This window comes from Homo sapiens, chromosome 6, assembly GCF_000001405.40.
Source record: "Homo sapiens chromosome 6, GRCh38.p14 Primary Assembly".
In the NCBI taxonomy this organism is placed as follows: Eukaryota; Metazoa; Chordata; class Mammalia; order Primates; family Hominidae; genus Homo; species Homo sapiens.
Genome location: NC_000006.12, coordinates 151273368 through 151290580, shown reverse-complemented (window position 1 = coordinate 151290580; position 17213 = coordinate 151273368). Strand labels below are relative to the sequence as shown.

The 17213-nt window shown below is 42.5% G+C and overlaps 1 protein-coding gene and 1 pseudogene across 2 annotated transcripts in view, besides 2 other annotated features; one reads left to right on the top strand and one right to left on the bottom strand.

The window, feature by feature from the left end:
• The window catches only part of AKAP12 (A-kinase anchoring protein 12), a 118593-nt gene that overhangs the window by 67979 nt on the left and 33401 nt on the right, over positions 1 to 17213 (bottom strand). The window lies entirely within an intron of this gene.
• Positions 6370 to 6419: an enhancer, noted in NCBI's record as "active region_25280". NCBI's record gives its function as "activates an Ori minimal core promoter by ATAC-STARR-seq in GM12878 lymphoblastoid cells {active_cell/tissue: GM12878}" and the evidence as "EXISTENCE:reporter gene assay evidence [ECO:0000049][PMID:35858748]".
• Positions 6430 to 6479: an enhancer, noted in NCBI's record as "active region_25279". NCBI's record gives its function as "activates an Ori minimal core promoter by ATAC-STARR-seq in GM12878 lymphoblastoid cells {active_cell/tissue: GM12878}" and the evidence as "EXISTENCE:reporter gene assay evidence [ECO:0000049][PMID:35858748]".
• Positions 9969 to 10066, top strand: RNU6-1247P (RNA, U6 small nuclear 1247, pseudogene; annotated as a pseudogene).

The following is a 17213-nucleotide window of genomic DNA, read 5'->3' as shown; positions in this document are numbered from 1 at the left end:
TGAGGGGGATGGGAGAGGAAGCTGGCCTGTGAGAGGTAAGAGGTCTTCAAGGAGTCGTAACTGAACTTCAGGGCCTCATTGTCAGGGGTCAATCTGCTTGGCTTCAGATTTTTGGGGTAACACCCAGTGGCATGGATGTCTAAGTGGAGAAAGACTGTAGTTGGGTGAGGGATGTGCTAGGAGAATGAGATAACGGTGAGTGCTTCTCCATTCTGTCTGTCTCAGTCACCTGGGACTGAGCTCGTCATGGTGTCCAACTGATGCCACTGTGGGAACTTCCACCCACCCTCCCTGTAGGGTGTGCAGTGAAGATGTTGGCCTTTCCAGACACTGCCCAGTTTTCCTATCCTCCAAAATGGCCCCAATCAAGCTACCTGAATTCAGTGGAGAAGGAATTCAACAATTCTAGTCCCTATAAGCATTAATAGGTGCCAGAATAATGTTTCCCACAAAGAAATGATGACTATTCTAAGAACACATTTGTGTTAGTCCACACATTTCTCCAGTCTCAAAAGGAAGCTTCCAAACCATCTTGTTCAGATGCCTCGTCCCATCGGATGCGTTACCTTCTAAACACGAAAGTGTATCAAAACACAACAAAAGCAAAATGCCAGCCATAACCATGCTAGTCATCATGTTACCCAAGGAGGAAAGAATTACAATCCAAGTTCCACACCTGAAGGATTTGCAAATTAAACATCTCTCAGTCTTTGCTTTGAATGAGCTAAGAGCCAAGCTAAAACCTCACAAGGGAAAGTACATCTGGGAAAGCCCACCACCCTCCCTTTACAAAGTTAACCTGGTGACAGTGTCTCTATTCAAAATCCCTGTGCTTCTTTTTCTTACAGGCCAGCCTAGAATGTATTGATCAAGACATTCTAAGAAAGACAAATAACAGCTCTAGTTTCTTTTCTTTCTTATTTTCCTGGTTTAACAAAATTACTCAATAAAACAGTTATATTGCACATCTTGCAACCTTCTTATCAAGACCTTACTCTACTGAGAAAAAAAGGGAGAGTGTTTCTTAAGAAGTGACTATGTACGAGAGGCAAAGCCCTATGGAAACCACATCAACCACAAGATGGGTTTTTGGCTTTTTGCTTTTTTGTTTGGCTGGTTGGTGTTTGCTACCAAATCTATTTTTTCATACTTCTGCTTCTGAAACATGCAGGCTGGTCAGAATATTCACTACTACATAACCCAATGCTCTAAAAATCAGTGCCTAATTAAAAATACATTCACAGTCTATCCAAGTATGGTGAATTTGCAGAGGACCTTGAAGCTGCATAACCATCTCTCTCAACATTAGGGGTGGAGAGTATCAGTTTGAATTTCCCCGTCTGCGCTCGAGGGCTGGCTGGTGTTGGTTCTGTCGGAGAAGGGCAGTGACTGTGAACTTGACATTCATCTCTCACAGCATGTTTTCAGCAATTCTGGTGATTTGGGATTTGTTGCAAATTTTAAAAAGAAAAGAAAAACCTATGTCCAGCAATATCTACTAAAAACAAAAATCCTCCAGCAAAAAATACAAGCCTCAGGAGAAAGCACTTGCAGTAGGTACTGATTACGGCTTGAATAAGTGATCTTACACAAGTGCATTTTCCATTCTAACAGGAATCCATTAACCTCATTTATAAATCATAAGTTATAGCTGTCAGAAGAGCTTTTAGAGCTGCCAGCCGCTACAGGGCGCATCTAGCGATGCCATTAATCCCTTAATTTTTAGCTTCATCAGCAATACAGCGGAACACAGACCAGGCCTCGTTCCCCAAATAAGCACACCTGAAAAATGTGGTCCTGATTTAGGAGGCAGAAGACAGTAATTTGGGAGAAATTCACTCTGTCCTCCAAAAGCATGAGTTGTGACTTCTGAACGGGGGTAGGGTGGGAGTGGGAAGAGTGACAGGCAGTTCAGCTGTACCCCAAATCCCACAAAATATTAATTAAATACTTCAGGGGCTCTCTGTAATCCTTCACTATAACTCTATCAATTTTATTTTAGCACCTATTGTTTGGAAAGTCCATTTAACCAATGTGCTCGTGACTCTTTTTCTTTCTTTCTTTCTTTTGAGACGATGTCTTGCTCTGTCCCCCAGGCTGGAGTACAGCGGCGCGATCTCAGCTCACTGTAGCCTCCGCCTCCCGGGGTTCAACCTGCCTCTCAGCCTCCTGAGTAGCTAAAATTACAGGTGCCTGCCACCATGCCCAGCTAATTTTTTTGTATTTTTCGTAGAGTCAGGGTTTCTCCATGTTGTCCAGGCTGGTTTCAAACTCCTGACCTCAAGTGATCCACCCACCTCGGCTTTCCAAAGTGTTGGGATTACCAGCATGGGCCACTGCACCCAGCCATAATTCTTTTTTTTTTTTTAAATACTTTAAGTTCTGGGATACATGTCCAGAACACGCAGGTTTGTTAGAGAGGTATACACGTGCCATGGTGATTTGCTGCACCCATCAACCCGTCAACTACATTAGGTATTTCTCCTAATGCCATCCCTCCCCTAGCCCCCCACTCCCCAACAGGCCCCGGTGTGTGATGTTCCCCTCCCTGTGTCCAGGTGTTCTCCTTGTTCAACTCCTACGTATGAGTGAGAACATGTGGTGTTTGGTTTTCTGTTCCTGTGTTAGTTTGCTGAGAATGATGGTTTCCAGCTTTATCCATGTCCCTGCAAAGGACATGAACTCGTCCTTTCTTATGGCTGCATAGTATTCCGTGGTGTATATGTGCCACATTTCCTTTATCCAGTCTATCATTGATGGGCATTTGGGTTGGTTCCAAGTCTTTGCTATTGTGAACAGTGCTGCAATAAACATACGTATGCATGTGTCTTTATAGTAGAATGATTTATAATCCTTTGGGTATATACCCAGTAACAGGATTGCTGGATCAAATGGTATTTCTGGTTCTAGATCCTTGAGGAATCGCCACACTGTCTTCCACAATGGTTGACTAATTTATACTCCGACCAACGGTGTAAAAGCATTCCTCATAATTCTTTAAAATATTAATAAGTAAACATGGCCGGGCCTGATGGCTCACGCCTGTAATCCTAGCACTTTCCAAGGCCGAGGTGGGCAGATCGCTGGAGTCCAAGAGTTAGACACTAGCCTGAGCAACATGGTGAAATCCCAACTCTACAAAAAATGCAAAAATTGGCTGGGCGTGCTGACTTGTGTCTGTGGTCCCAGCTACTCAGGAGGCTAAGGTGGGAGGATCACCTGAGACCAAGGAAGTTGAGGCCACAGTGAGCCATGATTGTGCCACTGTACTCCAGCCTGGGCAACAGAGCAACACCCCGTCTCAGAAAAATAAAATGAAATCAAAATAAAAAAAAGAAAATAGACCGGGCGTGGTGGTTCACACCTGTAATCCCAGCACTCTGGGAGGCCGAGGCGGGTGGATCACAAGGTCAGGAGATCGAGACCATCCTGGATAACACGGTGAAACCCCATCTCTACTAAAAATATAAAAAATTAGCCGGGCATGGTGGCGGGCGCCTGTAGTCCCAGCTTCTCGGGAGGCTGAGGCAGGAGAATGGTGTGAACCCGGGAGGCAGAGGTGAGCAGTGAGCCGAGATCACGCCACTGCACTCCAGCCTGGGCAACAGAGCGAGACTCCGTCTCAAAAAAAAAAAAAGAAAGAAAAAGAAAATATGCTTACCCCATCGCTGCCACCCCAACAACTGTGGGACCTTGGTCAAGTCAACAGCAGTAGCTTTGGTTCTCACCTGACTTGTTTTGTTTTGTAAAAGACCTGAACTCTCTCGAGCTCTGAGCTCTAACCTTCTCTGACTCAGACCACATTCGGGACTCAGTCAAGAGGGGCAACTTACCCTGCTTTGACGCCTGGAAAGACAGAGTACAAAGTGGCTCGTTTGGTTCATATGCGCTTAAATAAATAATAATAGATAACGGATACCTCAATGGAAAGGATTCATTCCTTAACCACTTGGTTCAAGATCTGTAAGCAAACTAAATGATTTCAAGAAGTATAGACTATAACTGCTAGTGAAACAGTCTCCAATATTCACATGTGAGTGACTAGAAAGGGAGAGTTTCTTTGTTTTGTTTTCTGTTTCCGAAGAATGCAAGCCGACGCCCCATCCAGCGAGGGTTGGCGCTTCCTCATGAAGTCGTGTGGGCTTCTGGGAAATGCCCCCTCCCTGCTGTTACTGATCTTGAACCTTGACAGCAAGCAAAGTAGAACGTATGTGTGTAGTAACAGCACAGAAATGGAGCAGACAGGTGCCAGCTTTCTTGCCAACTTTATTTGAAATGCAAAGAAAATGCTTTCAGCCTGATGCCATTCCTGAAGCAAGTTTGCTTCTGCAGGAAAAAGGGCTTTCCCTAAACAAGTGTCCCATCAATGACTCACTCTCAAATTGCTGTTGCCTTAATCTTTTAAAAAAATTATCACCTCCATGGCTGTAATCCCAGCACTTTGGGAGGCCAAAGCAGGTGGATCACCTGAGGCCAGGAGTTCAAGACCAGCCTGGCCAACATGGTGAAACCTCGTCCCTACTAAAAATACAAAAAAATTACCCAGGCATGGTGGTGCCCCTGTAATCTCAGCTACTTGGGAGGCTGAGGCAGAAGAATCGCTTGAACTCAGGAGGCGAAGGTTGCAGAGAACGGAGATTGCGCCATTTCACTCCAGCCTGGGTGATAAGCGCAAAATTCCGTCTCAAAAAAAAAAAAAAATTATCACCTCCAGAAGATAATCATGTGATAGATGTAGATGATCAATCATAAAGCCTTTGCACTTTTGAACCAAATACTGACTTACAGGAAATGATGTGCTTTAAGTTTAGAGCATACACAGATTATCTTAGAAACTAGAAAATACATTTATTTCTTCATCAAACTGTACAAATGACTTCTTTTCCCCTCCACAACTCACCCAAATGATAGACTGTGATACTTTAAATTTTTTTGTTTTTGTTTACATAATCCTCCCCCCTTTTTTGCATGAAATTGATTTTTTTTTTTAACCCAAGACATTACAACCAGAGAAGTCACCGCAAGAAAGGACTTTGCTATAATACTCAATTGTCTCAAACTTTCTGGTTATTGTTCTTTAAAAAAATCCTTTTTTCATCTTTTCCACAAACTCTCCATTAAGAATTATAAGCTCTTTGGTAATCAGTAGATTGAAATAGATACACACACACACACACACACACACACACACACACAGTGAAATGCAGCTCTCTGATGTGTACTTCCTGGCAAGGAAAAAATAGTTCAATAGCAAACTCAGTAATGTGAATCACTGCCAAGACAGGAAAACATTATTTGGTATCCACTCCTATGACAATGGGAAAAATAGTTCTGAGAGTGAAAAGTTTTTATACCAATTAGGTTATGTCCTCTAAAACTGTTTCCAGTTATTGCTTCTGGGGACAGAGGGGACAATATATTTGCTTTGATATGTAAGTTTTCACAATGGAGCATTAGTCTTACTTGGTCTCAATACACTCCCCACTCTGTCGTTCATAAATCATGTTCTTCACATTAACTATTCCTAAAATAAAGTGCCTGAATCTTGCAGTCCAGACCCACCACATGCTCATACTGCATCTTGCATTTCATTCTCTTTGTTGACCTCCAAGTTCACTCTCCAAAGCCTCTGAATGTTCATCATTTTGCAAAAGCTTTGGTTCCACCCTGGGTCCCCATGCGTTAGTCAACATTTGATTAATCCCTGTGATGGGTTCCTATGTCATCTGGATGCGTCAAGTCAAAAGGAAGTGCCACACATCAAAGACAGAGTACTAAGACACATAGTACTAACAGGGAGGGGTCTCTTTCAGTTCTGTTGATAAGAGAAAGTGTACCAGAAAAAGTTGAGTTTTGAGCTGGATCTGAATAGGCAAAAAGTACCAATGGCAGGGAAGAGAGAAATAAGACATCGACATGTGTTCATTCTTTGTTTTTGGTTTCGGTTTTGTTTGAGACAGGGTCTTGCTCTGTTGCCCAGACTGGAGTGCAGTAGCTCAGTTATGGCTCACTGCAGCTCTGACCTCTCAGGCTCAAGCAATACTCCAGCCTCAGCCCCCCAAGTAGCTGGGACTACAGGCGCACACTGCCACACCCAGCTAATTTTTTTGTATTTTTTGTAGAGACAGGGTTTCGCCATGTTGCCCAGGCTGGTCTCAAACTCCTGGGCTCAAGCGATCCTTCCACCTCGGCTTCCCAAAGTGCCGGGATTACAGGTGTTAGCCACCACACCCAGCCATGCATTCTTATTTATCTCATGTCAGGCAATGGCAAAGAGTGCAATGTGGAAGTGATGCCAGGAGTTCTGGTAACGACATGACTCAACGTGCAGGTTTCAAAGATCACTGCATACCTGGTGAACGATGTGTGACACTGATCTGTGCAGACAGAAGTCAGAATGTAATGGAGCAATAACCAGGAGGAGATGCAAGGGAGGCTTCTGGGGCACTGGCGAGGTTCTCCAACCTGACCTGGGAGAGGGTTACTCGTGCGTTCACCTTGTAAGAACTCACCAAGCTATACGCTTAAGACTTGCTCGCTTTATCAGATATAAATTGACCACAGACAAACCCTAAAAACCCCCAAACCAGCAATCTGCCTGCAGAGAGGAGCTGAAGGAGAGCAAGCTGGAGGCAGGAAGGCTGCTGCTGTGTCCATTCAGGGGAGAAATGAAGCCAGGGAAGGCCCTGTGGACAGAATGGGTCGATGTGAAATGTCTTTGGAGATGAGGCCTGCGGGACTTGCCAACGGAAAAAGAATGACTCCCGGATTTGAGGTTTGGTTATGTCAGTGACAGCTTCTGAGCTCTCAGAAAAACACCTGACATTGCTTTTAACAGTGGGCTTTCTGTCTTTATACTGAATTCTGTCTCTGTCTCTCCCTCTCTTAGGCATTCTCTGATCAGAATGCCTCGCCTTGAGAAGAGGCCCTACCTGTAAGGTTCCTTCACCTCTAGGTGCCTGCTTCCTCATTGGTACAATGGGGATTTATAAGTGTCTATCACAAGTGTACCAAGCGCGTAGGACAGACAGCACCTGACACAGTAAGCACTAGTCAGTGTCAGCCATTAGTATTACAGAAAACAAATCACTGCTTTTGTTACCCTGTCCCTCTATTTTCTGGGTCAACAGTGAGACCATGTCTTTACTTGATAATACTCTTTTTCAGGCAAAGAATTAGCATCCTCGTTGGAAAAGCCTAGAAACCTGGAGACCATCTTGGGCTTTTCTGCATCTTGGTCATCCTCATGCTCCCTCAAATCCTACCATTTCTTTTGTGTTCAATGCTGTCTGTACCCATTGCTTGATTTCTGCCCTAGTTCAAGCTTTAGCATTTCATGGTTGATTTAATGCAATATCCTAAGAGCTGATCTCCCTGCCTTTGAGTGCCTCTTGTTTAGTTCTACCTTAACGCTCAATCTGTCATGCTGGTCTCCTTTAGTTCCTAAAGTGTGCCTCCTCACCGTCATTAAATGGAGCCCAGCCTCCTTATACAAGGGCCTCCACTTTTCTAAAATCTCCTGCTACCCACTTTCATAAAGGCTCAGTCCTGGGCCGAGAAGTAAGAAAGAAATCCTGAATACTCTTCAACAGTCATCTAAATTTTTTCATAACATGAGTGCAGGCTATACTGTGGGAAATTAGCAAGAGCTTAGCCAAGATAAAAACTAAACTCCATGAAGATGAAGATAGCAACTTTCTTACAAATCTAGCACTTTATACATAATACACTTTATATAGTTAATGATTTCAAGTTTGACCAGCCTGAACATTGACAGTAATCAGGAATGAATAACCTGATAGGTAGACAGCAGGGAAAACATTATTCAACCAATAGACAAGAGAAGTCGGGGAATCAGCAGCTGCTTCAAAGAATCCCTGTGAGCAGTAACACCATCAGACCCAGGCAGAGCCCCTCACTGCGGAGAGCCCCATTCTGGCCCTCCTCTGGCTACATCCTTCCCCCGCAGCAACCAAAAGGGCAAACCTTCCTGAAATTAACATCCACCTGTCCTGGGGGCCCAAGATTTGGAATTCTCAGAACCTATGCAAGCCTCTTCCCTGGGCACCTCTAGACCAAAGGGCTACAGCACATTTGTTTTGGTGAAGGTTGGGCATGTGGGCTGGAAAACCCCCATGCGTGAGCTGGAGGTCCCTTAAGATGTATGGGCAGGCTGGGCACGGTGGCTCACACCTGTAATCCCAGCACTTTGGGAGGCCGAGGTGGGTGGATCACCTGAGGTCAGGAAATCAAGACCAGCCTGGCCAACATGGCAAAACCCTGTCTCTACTAAAAATACAAAAATTAGCTGGGCGTGGTGGCACGCGCCTGTAGTCCCAGCTATTCAGGAGGCTGAGGCAGCTACTACTCGGCTCACTGCAACCTCTGCCTCCCGCTCGAACCTGGGAGGCGGAGGGTGCAGTGAGCCGAGATAGCACCACTGCATTCCAGCCTGGGCGACAGAGCAAGACTCCATCTCAGAAAAAATAAAAATAGATGTATGGGCAGCTGAGAGCGGGAACAGGAGGGGGAAGAGGACAGCCCGCTCCTGCATCACACATTCTGGCATGGGAGGTCATGCCAGACTGCACTTGGTGGGTCACGCCTATAAACCCAGTGCTTTGGGAGGCCAAGGTGGGAGGATCTCTTGAAGCCAGGTGTTTGACAAGCTTGGGCAACACAGGGAGACCTCATCCCTACATCAAAATTTAAAATTAGCTGGGTGTTGGGGAAGGGAGGGTATGGTGTAGGCCTGTATTCCTAGCTACTCAGAAGGCTGAGGCAGGAAGATCTCCTGAGCCCAGGAAGTCAAGGCTGCAGTGAGCACCACTGCACTCCAGCCTGGGTGACAGAGCAAGACCTTGTCTCAATAAACAAATAAATAAAACAAACGTGTGTGGAGAAAAGAATGAAGCCGCAGGAAATTGGGTCCTAGCCTCACATAGAATGCCCCAATTCCAAGACTTAAAATTCTATATAGCATCATCAAAATACAATGGGTTGAGTTAGGATTTGGGAGGCTATTCCCTATGTGTAGGAGAAATTCTTGCAAATGTGAAGTATCAACCATGAGATCTGAAGCATATAAGAAGACCTCAAAAGATAAAGTGGGCACTAAATCTGCTCATAACCTGAAATTAAAATAGCGAACCAATACATAGACCTACAGAATTACAGTTATCTCTTCCCATACGTTACAGAAATGCAAAAGTCAAGGCAAACTTAAAACACCATCCTTCACCTGTCAAAGTAACACTACCAATATCACTGACGTGGCCAAATCTGAGCACTCATTTGTTCTCAGTAGCATTAAAATTAGCACAACTTGTAAAAACATATTCTTTAGCAACCTTCATCCAGTTTGTAGAGGGAGGCTCGCAAGTTAAGTCACTTATCTAATGTAAGTGGCTGAGTTGGGGATTCAAATCCACATCCTGAACACCACGCACATGCCCCTTCTACTTTGCATGAAGCCTAGATGTTTACCCTAAGGAAATAACAGGATGAAAGCACAGAAACACAGCCACTTCCTGCAGAATGGAAAGAAGCTGCCAATGTGTTTACTGGTAAATTTAAACATGACCTTGTTAACTGTATATATCTTTAGAATTACACATAAGAAATGGTAATTCTCTAAGTGAAAGCAAAACGCGAGTGTTTCAAGCTAACTGCAACTCAGTCAAAAGTCAAAGGTTTGTGAAATATGATTGCCAAAATGGGGCATTGTGAGTATTCCGTAAAGTATCTAATATTACAATATTTTCAAAAAGAAAAGAGCTGGGCGTGATGGCCTACAACTGTAGTCCTAGCTACTCGGGGGGCTGAAGTGGGAGGGTCGCTTGAGCCCAGACTTTGGGGTTACAGTGAGGTGTGATTGTGTCCCTCCAGCCTGGGCAACAAGAGGAAGGTCCTTTCTCAAAAAAAAAAAAAAAAAGAAAATGAAAAAGAAAAAGAAAGAAAAGAAAAGAGCGCTCGTTTGGTTTGGCAGCACAGACACTAAAATGGAAACGATACATGGCCCCTACTCAAAGATGAGACCCAAATTTGTAAAGCGTTCCATATTTTTATATACAGTGTGTGCTGTGAGCTATTGAAAGCTGAATGCATTAAGCATATTTTGAAACTTAAGTCATTCCTTGGTTAACAAGTAAATGTGTCAGAAATTTATCATATAGAAAAGGGTGGAAGGGTGGGGCATTCCCTTTCATCCAGGAATTAGTCCTATAGAAATATTTGCACAAGCATAAATGAATATGTATATTATACATAATTTTCATTTTATATATCAAAATTATATTATATATGAAAGGATGTTCATTTCAGCATTACTTGTAATAGGAGATCATCAGAATCAACTTAAATGTCAATCAGTAAAGAGACTGGTTAAAAATATAGAGTATATCCATGTCACTGAACATATAGCCATTAAGCAGTGAGCCAGATCTGTGTATACTGAACCAAAAGGTGCTTATGATTTCCTATTGAGTGAAAAAGGCAAGTTACGCAACAGTATTATCTATATGCATATTTAAAAAAAAAAAACAACAACCGAAAGGATATGTTTGTTTGTGTATGTAAGAAAAATCTCAGAAGACAAGAGGGAATGAAGGAACTTTTTTCTTATATGGTGGCATTTGCACAATGACAATATACCACTTTTATGCTTAAAAAAAGATATTTATTTAAAATTTTTTCAAGTTTGATTTCACTTGCTTATTTATTTACTTTTTTAAAGAGACCAGGTCTCACTCCATCACCCAGGATGGAGTGCAGTGGTGCAATCGTTAGCTCACTGCAGACTCAACCTCCTGGGCTCAAGCAATCCTCCCACTTCAGCCTCCCCCCAGTAGCTAGGACTACAGGCGCCTGCCACCTCGCCGGCTTTTGCTTGCTTATTGTCTCCAGCCCGTTTCTATTATTTAAATGCCTCACCGAGCAGTGTTAAGGGTCAATTTTAAAAGAAACAGAGAGAAAGTAAATTTTTAAAATGTTATAGAATGCCTTCTCCATGGTCAGATTTTTCCCACCTTTATCCTTTATCGTATATTTCTCGTTTCTTCTTGCATACATATTAAAAACTGCTGTACATTTTTTCCTAAGTCAAGGAGAGTTGTATATAAATACACTCACCATTCTTAAGTTAATCACACACACACAAAAATTTAAAACCTGAAGAGCTGTTCTTCAAGATCACCTAAAACAGTCCCTTCCATGACACTGACGAGAACCAAATCCTGAAAGAATGTTACTTGCCAAGCATCACAGACCTTGTTAGGATTAGAAACCATGCCAGAGAAATTCCTTCTCTATCCCTACTTTCTTAAAAAAAGATAACATTTTGATGAGACCAGGGAATACAATCTTTTAAAACACTAAAACAACAGAGAATGTCTTCCTAAGTAAGTCCGACTCAGGTTCTGGGTGTGAGCCCTCCAGGCCACTCAAGCAGTGTAGGCAGTAATGACACTCCAGGTGTGTTCTCTATTTCAAATCCACTATAACTGCTTATTGAACAATTTATTTTAGGAATTTTAGAAAACAGAAATGAAGTAAGTTTTAATGAAGAACACTTTAAAAACCATTGTTCTATGCTAAGTTAAGAACTAGATACTACCGCCGGGCGCGGTGGCTCATGCCTGTAATCCCAGCACTTTGGGAGGCCGGGGCAGGCGGATCACAAGGTCAGGAGATCGAGACCATCCTGGCTAACACGGTGAAACCCTGTCTCTACTAAAAATACAAAAAATTAGCCGGGCATGGTGGCAGGTGCCTGTACTCCCAGCTACTCGGGAGGCTGAGGCAGGAGAATGGCGTGAACCCGGGAGGCAGAGCTTGCAGTGAGCGGAGATCGCGCCACTGCACTCCAGCCTGGGTGACAGAGCGAGACTCTGTCTCAAAAAAAAAAAACTAGACACTACCGTTCATTAATTGCAGTACCAATAACATCATCTCAGAGAGAAAGTGATCTCCAATACAACAGTAGTCAAAGAACAGAACTTCCCAGAAACTGACCTCCAACTGGATTTACGATGCTATGATTCTTCTTTGATAAAAACACATGACACAGCCAGGTGCGGTGGCTCAAGCCTGTAATCCCAGCCCTTTGGTAGGCCAAGGAGGGAGGATCACCTGAGGTAAGGAGTTCGAGACCAGTCTGGCCAACATGGCAAAACCCTGTCTCTACTAAAGACACAAAAATTAGCTGGGCATGGTGGTGGGCGCCTGCAATCCCAGCTACTTGGGAGGCTAAGGCAGGATAATCGCTTGAACCCAGGAGGCGAAGCCTGCAGTGAGCCGAGATCGCACCACTTTACTCCAACCTGAGTGACAGAGTGAGACTCCGTCTCAAAAAACAAAACAAAACAAACAAACAAAAAACCAAAAAAAACACAACATCTGAATTCCCCTTCATTGTAAATCCATCCACATTAATAAATTATAGACCTCAAAGAAAGTTAATACAAAATTAATCCATAAACTTTTTACCTACTACCTTAAGTGATACATTTTCATCATTGTAGATTTTAAATAAAATATAAAAGAGGACAAATTCTATTATTTCCCTTCCACAATAGTAAGACAAAGGTAGAAAAAAATAAACAGACAGACACACACACACACACACACACACACACATAAACCTATTAGCTATTGCCTAAGGATCTGAAAAGGGAAGACGTAACATGTCTTACGTATTTCAATGATTAATGCTGTATTTAACATTAGGAAAAACATCAGCACCAGAAGAACCAATACAGTTGAAGAGTAAATCCTTACAAAATCCACATATTACTCTTAAAATTTGTTCCTGATTATATTCTTATTCACATTGAAAGTGTCTTTTATATTTGTTGAAGAACAAAAGAAAAAACTAAATAAAAAATGGGATTTATATTCCTGTTAAAATAAAAGATTACCAAAGAAAATACAAAATAGGAGGCAAGAGTCTGCTTGCAGGTTTAAACCTGATCATTTTGTAAGCCCTAATAGTTAACTCATTCAATAAATATCTATTAAACATCTATCATTTACCAAGCACCAAATTTTGAGGTAAAGGAATTTAGCATGTATTGTTTCAAATTATTTCAGTTCTACAAAGTTCTCCTATTGGAAACATCTAGATGTTTAGAAACAATACGCCTTACCATCCATTTTGCACTTAAAAAACACTTCTTAAAGAGGAGTAGAGACAGGAACCAGGATTTTTGTCTATAGGTGTGGTTATCATACGAGTACTCCTCTCCCCCAAAAGATAAAATCCAGGCTGTCTTTTAAATCAAGAGCATACATATTGCTTACTAAAGCATCCCAGTCTACGTGACATTCATAACTGACAAAAGTATCTTGCAACCTCATTAATTAATAGCCATTTTCAGACATTTGCTCAATCTCTCCATCTGCTACGGTGGACATCTGGAGCCCCAGTGTGTAGAAACCCACCTTTAAACAGCTGCAGAAGTAATGACACCTAGGAAAGGATGGATTCCTATTCATTTTCTTCGGTATCTTCAAGATTGCACAGGTTGTTGTATTTGTTTTTAGGTTTGTTTGTTTTCTTGTTAACTAAATGACCAAGAGCAAGATTTGACTTAAATTGCTTCAATTGATTATGTGCCCGTGGAGATGCATACACAAAGAATTCCACCTCAAACTGCCAAGAAAAACTCAATCCTTCCATACCATTCCATAAAAGATAGACTTAGAGGACAAGTCCCCTTGTATTCTTACTACTAAACAGATAAATCAAGAAAAAGGGACAGAGGCATCAATGGGTGATCTAAAGCATTCATAAAAGCATACGATCGTGATAAAGCACAATCAGTGACTTGCTAGGGGGAACAGGCAAATAAATAAATAATAAATACATAAGTTTCTTCAAGTCTTGGATCCCCTAGTGTTTTGTGCTCCTGGAGCCACTCCCAGCTGCGCTGGCTTCTCTTTGTGCGAGGCTCAGGGAGGCTCCGTCCACTGGGAGATTGCTCTGCAGTGACTGCAAGGCTGGTCAGCACTGGAGGAACCAAATCCCTTCAACAGCCAGACCGTTGACTAAGCAAAGTTACTCTAATTAGCCATCCTTTCTCAATTCCATTACAGCCCTAAGCAAAAACTACAGACATGTTTTGATGGGTAGAGCAAATGTCTGATGCAACTGAATGTACTGGCAGCTATGAAAATGTCTTAATCACTTTCAAACATGAAGCAAATTCCTGGAGGAAGGAATCTAAATTTGCCACTCATTCCTGGCTCTATTAGCAAGCACTTGCAATCAGTGACTATAACCACCAGGACACCTTGCTATTAAAATGAACTTTTACACAATTTTAGCTTTGCTACATTTAAATTTTATTCAAGATTTTTTTTTAAAGGGTGTTCAGGAACATGGAAAGATTTTTTATTTAAGTACAAGATTTTTTGTTCTACACTGAAAATTGCATTTCAAGGTCTCCTTAGGCTCAAAACTACACCAAAAGTATGTTTACACACAAAACTCCAATCTGATCAATGTGTTAACCAACAACTGTTAGACCAAGGCAAACAAATGCTTAGTGGTGACATCTATTAATAATTATGTTCAGTCTAATTTTTATTTACCAGCGATTTTCTTTCTGCAAAGATAAATGCTAACCAATTAAATGGAACCAGTCTGGATGTCCAGATGATAAGAACAACTTTCCAGATCAACGAGGTATTCAATTGATTTCATCAGCATAAAACCATTCAACAAAAATAAGCATAAAAACAGCCTTTCTGCAATCCCACACTGGAGTGGAAAATACAAAGGCACCACTTGGCGGCTAAGTCATACATTTGATGGAAGGAAAATGATACGCAGGTGGTCCTGCTGACAACAGATGGTAGGAAAATAATCCCAAAAAACCTTACTCCTTCCAGTGATCATGCCATCGTAAAAGATTTCTCATTTTTAACATCCAAATTCCTAAATCAATGTAAAATGTATTAAAGTATTCTGATAAAAAAAGACTGTCAATGATTCACCCAAATGTCTTCTACAACAAAATACGAACATGAGAAAGGTGACGTCTGCTATCGTGGAATTTCTGAGTGAAGGTCTCAGTCACGCTGTTTTGTTGACCACCTTCTTGGAGGGTAGATTTGTTTTTCATAATCCATTCTTCTACAGATTTTTTTTCCCCTTTTCTAGATGGAAAATGTACAATTTTAGGGCATCTGTTACTCTGAGGGCTCAACATCCCGAAAGCAAATAGCATTGGAAACCTCAGCCTTTTAAACTCCAGGGACACCATCAAGCCCCAGCCTCTCTCGAATGCAAACCTCTCGCCTTTCAAATGTGTTTTCCAGACACAGCAAGCAAGAGCTGGGAAGAAAAACGGTTTAGATCCCCTTGCTGGGGAACAGAAACAGTGGTTGGGGAGTACAACCAGTGTCACCACGTTATCACATATGGGTCAAACATGTTTGTGAGAAAAATTACAATTAAAAAAAAATTTTTTTTTTGAGACAGGGTCTTGCTCTGTCACCCAGGCTGAAGTGCAGTGGCGCGATCACGGCTCACTGCAGCCTCGACCTCCCAGGCTCAATCGATCCTCCCGCCTCAGCCTCCCAAGTAGCTGGGACTTCAGGAATGTGCCATCAGGCCTGGTTAATTTTTATATTTTTTGTAGAGGTGGGGTTTCACCCATGTTGCCGAGGCTGGTCTCCAACTCCTCAGCTCAAGTGATCCATCTGCCTCGGCCTCCCAAAGTGCTGGGATTACAGGAATGAGTTACCTAGCCCAGTGACAATTAGAAATTCTTACCTCCATTTTTATACTACTGTTTCTATGACCTTGAGGTTTTCTCAAAAATGCCTTTGAAGTTAGAAACTGCCTATAAAATTGTGAGATGCCCCCAACTCACAAACACTCCTTTTTTCTAAGAACACACAAAAGTGATAATGGTTGTGTTAAATAGGAACTTCTATTTTTTGTTATATTTTTAAATCTTTCTATAATTTCTAATTTCCATACTTACAATGCTTAAAGATCCCTACCTTCTCAAGGACAGAACTTTTTTGCATGATTTAATTCATGACTTTCTTCAGGAAAACATTCCCAACAAAATGTTTCTGATACACTTTAACGAAATCATGATCTATAATTTTAAACCACTTCCCTACTACCCAACCCCCCCACCTCCTCCACCATCACCACACCCCCAGGTGATCTTCAAGAACTGAAGGTAGGCCGGGTGCAGTGGCTCACGCCTGTAGTCCCAGCACTTTGGAAGACCAAGGCAGGTGGATTGCTTGAGCCCAGGAGTTCCAGACCAGCATGGGCAAAATGGTAGAACCCATCTCTACAAAAAGAATACAAAAATCAGCAGGGCGTAGTGGCATGCCCCTGCCCCTGTAGTCCCAGCTACTTGGGAGGCTGAGGTGACAGGATTGCCTAAGCCCAAGAGGCAGAGGTTGCAGTGAGCCGAGATTGCGCCACTGCCCTCCACCCTGGGCAAAAGAGCAAGATCCTGTCTCAAAAAAAAAAAAAGAACTGAGGGAAACCATTTTGACCTCATTCTTTTTTGTTTTTGTTTTTGAGACAGAGTCTTGCTCTGTCGCCCAGGCTGGAGTGCAGTGGTGCAATCTCGGCTCACTGCAACCTCCACCTCCTGGGTTCATGCGAGTCTCCTGCCTCAGTTTCCCGAGTAGCTGGGATTACAGGCGCACGCCACCATACCCGGCTAATTTTCATATTTTTAGTAGAGACGGAGTTTTCACCATGTTGGTCAGGCTGGTCTTGAACTCCTGACCTCATGATCCACCCGCCTCAGCCTCCCAAAGTGCTGGGATTACAGGCGTGAGCCACTGCGCCCAACTGGCCTCATTCTTTTAACTAGTCTAAAAGTAACCACCTAGCCATTCTTTTTCCATTAAATATGTCTACCAAAAGAGTCTTTGAACTGGCCTGCTGGAGGTCTCTTTCCTTAAGTTTGACATAAAAGTTGGAAATACGTTCAATAACTTCATTGTTGGAAAAAAGATGTTTAACTTTTAAGGGAAAACAAAGGGAGAGATGAGGGTAAAAGGAAAAAGCTCACCTATATGGAAGAATGCCAGATGGAGAAATATAGAAAAGAATAACAGATGAGAAAGTCACCATTTCACAGTGATTTACGCGAGAGTCATCACTGGATGTGAATATACTGGCAATGGAATCACCGGTATGAAACTACCATAGTACCCCACAGGGAAACTCA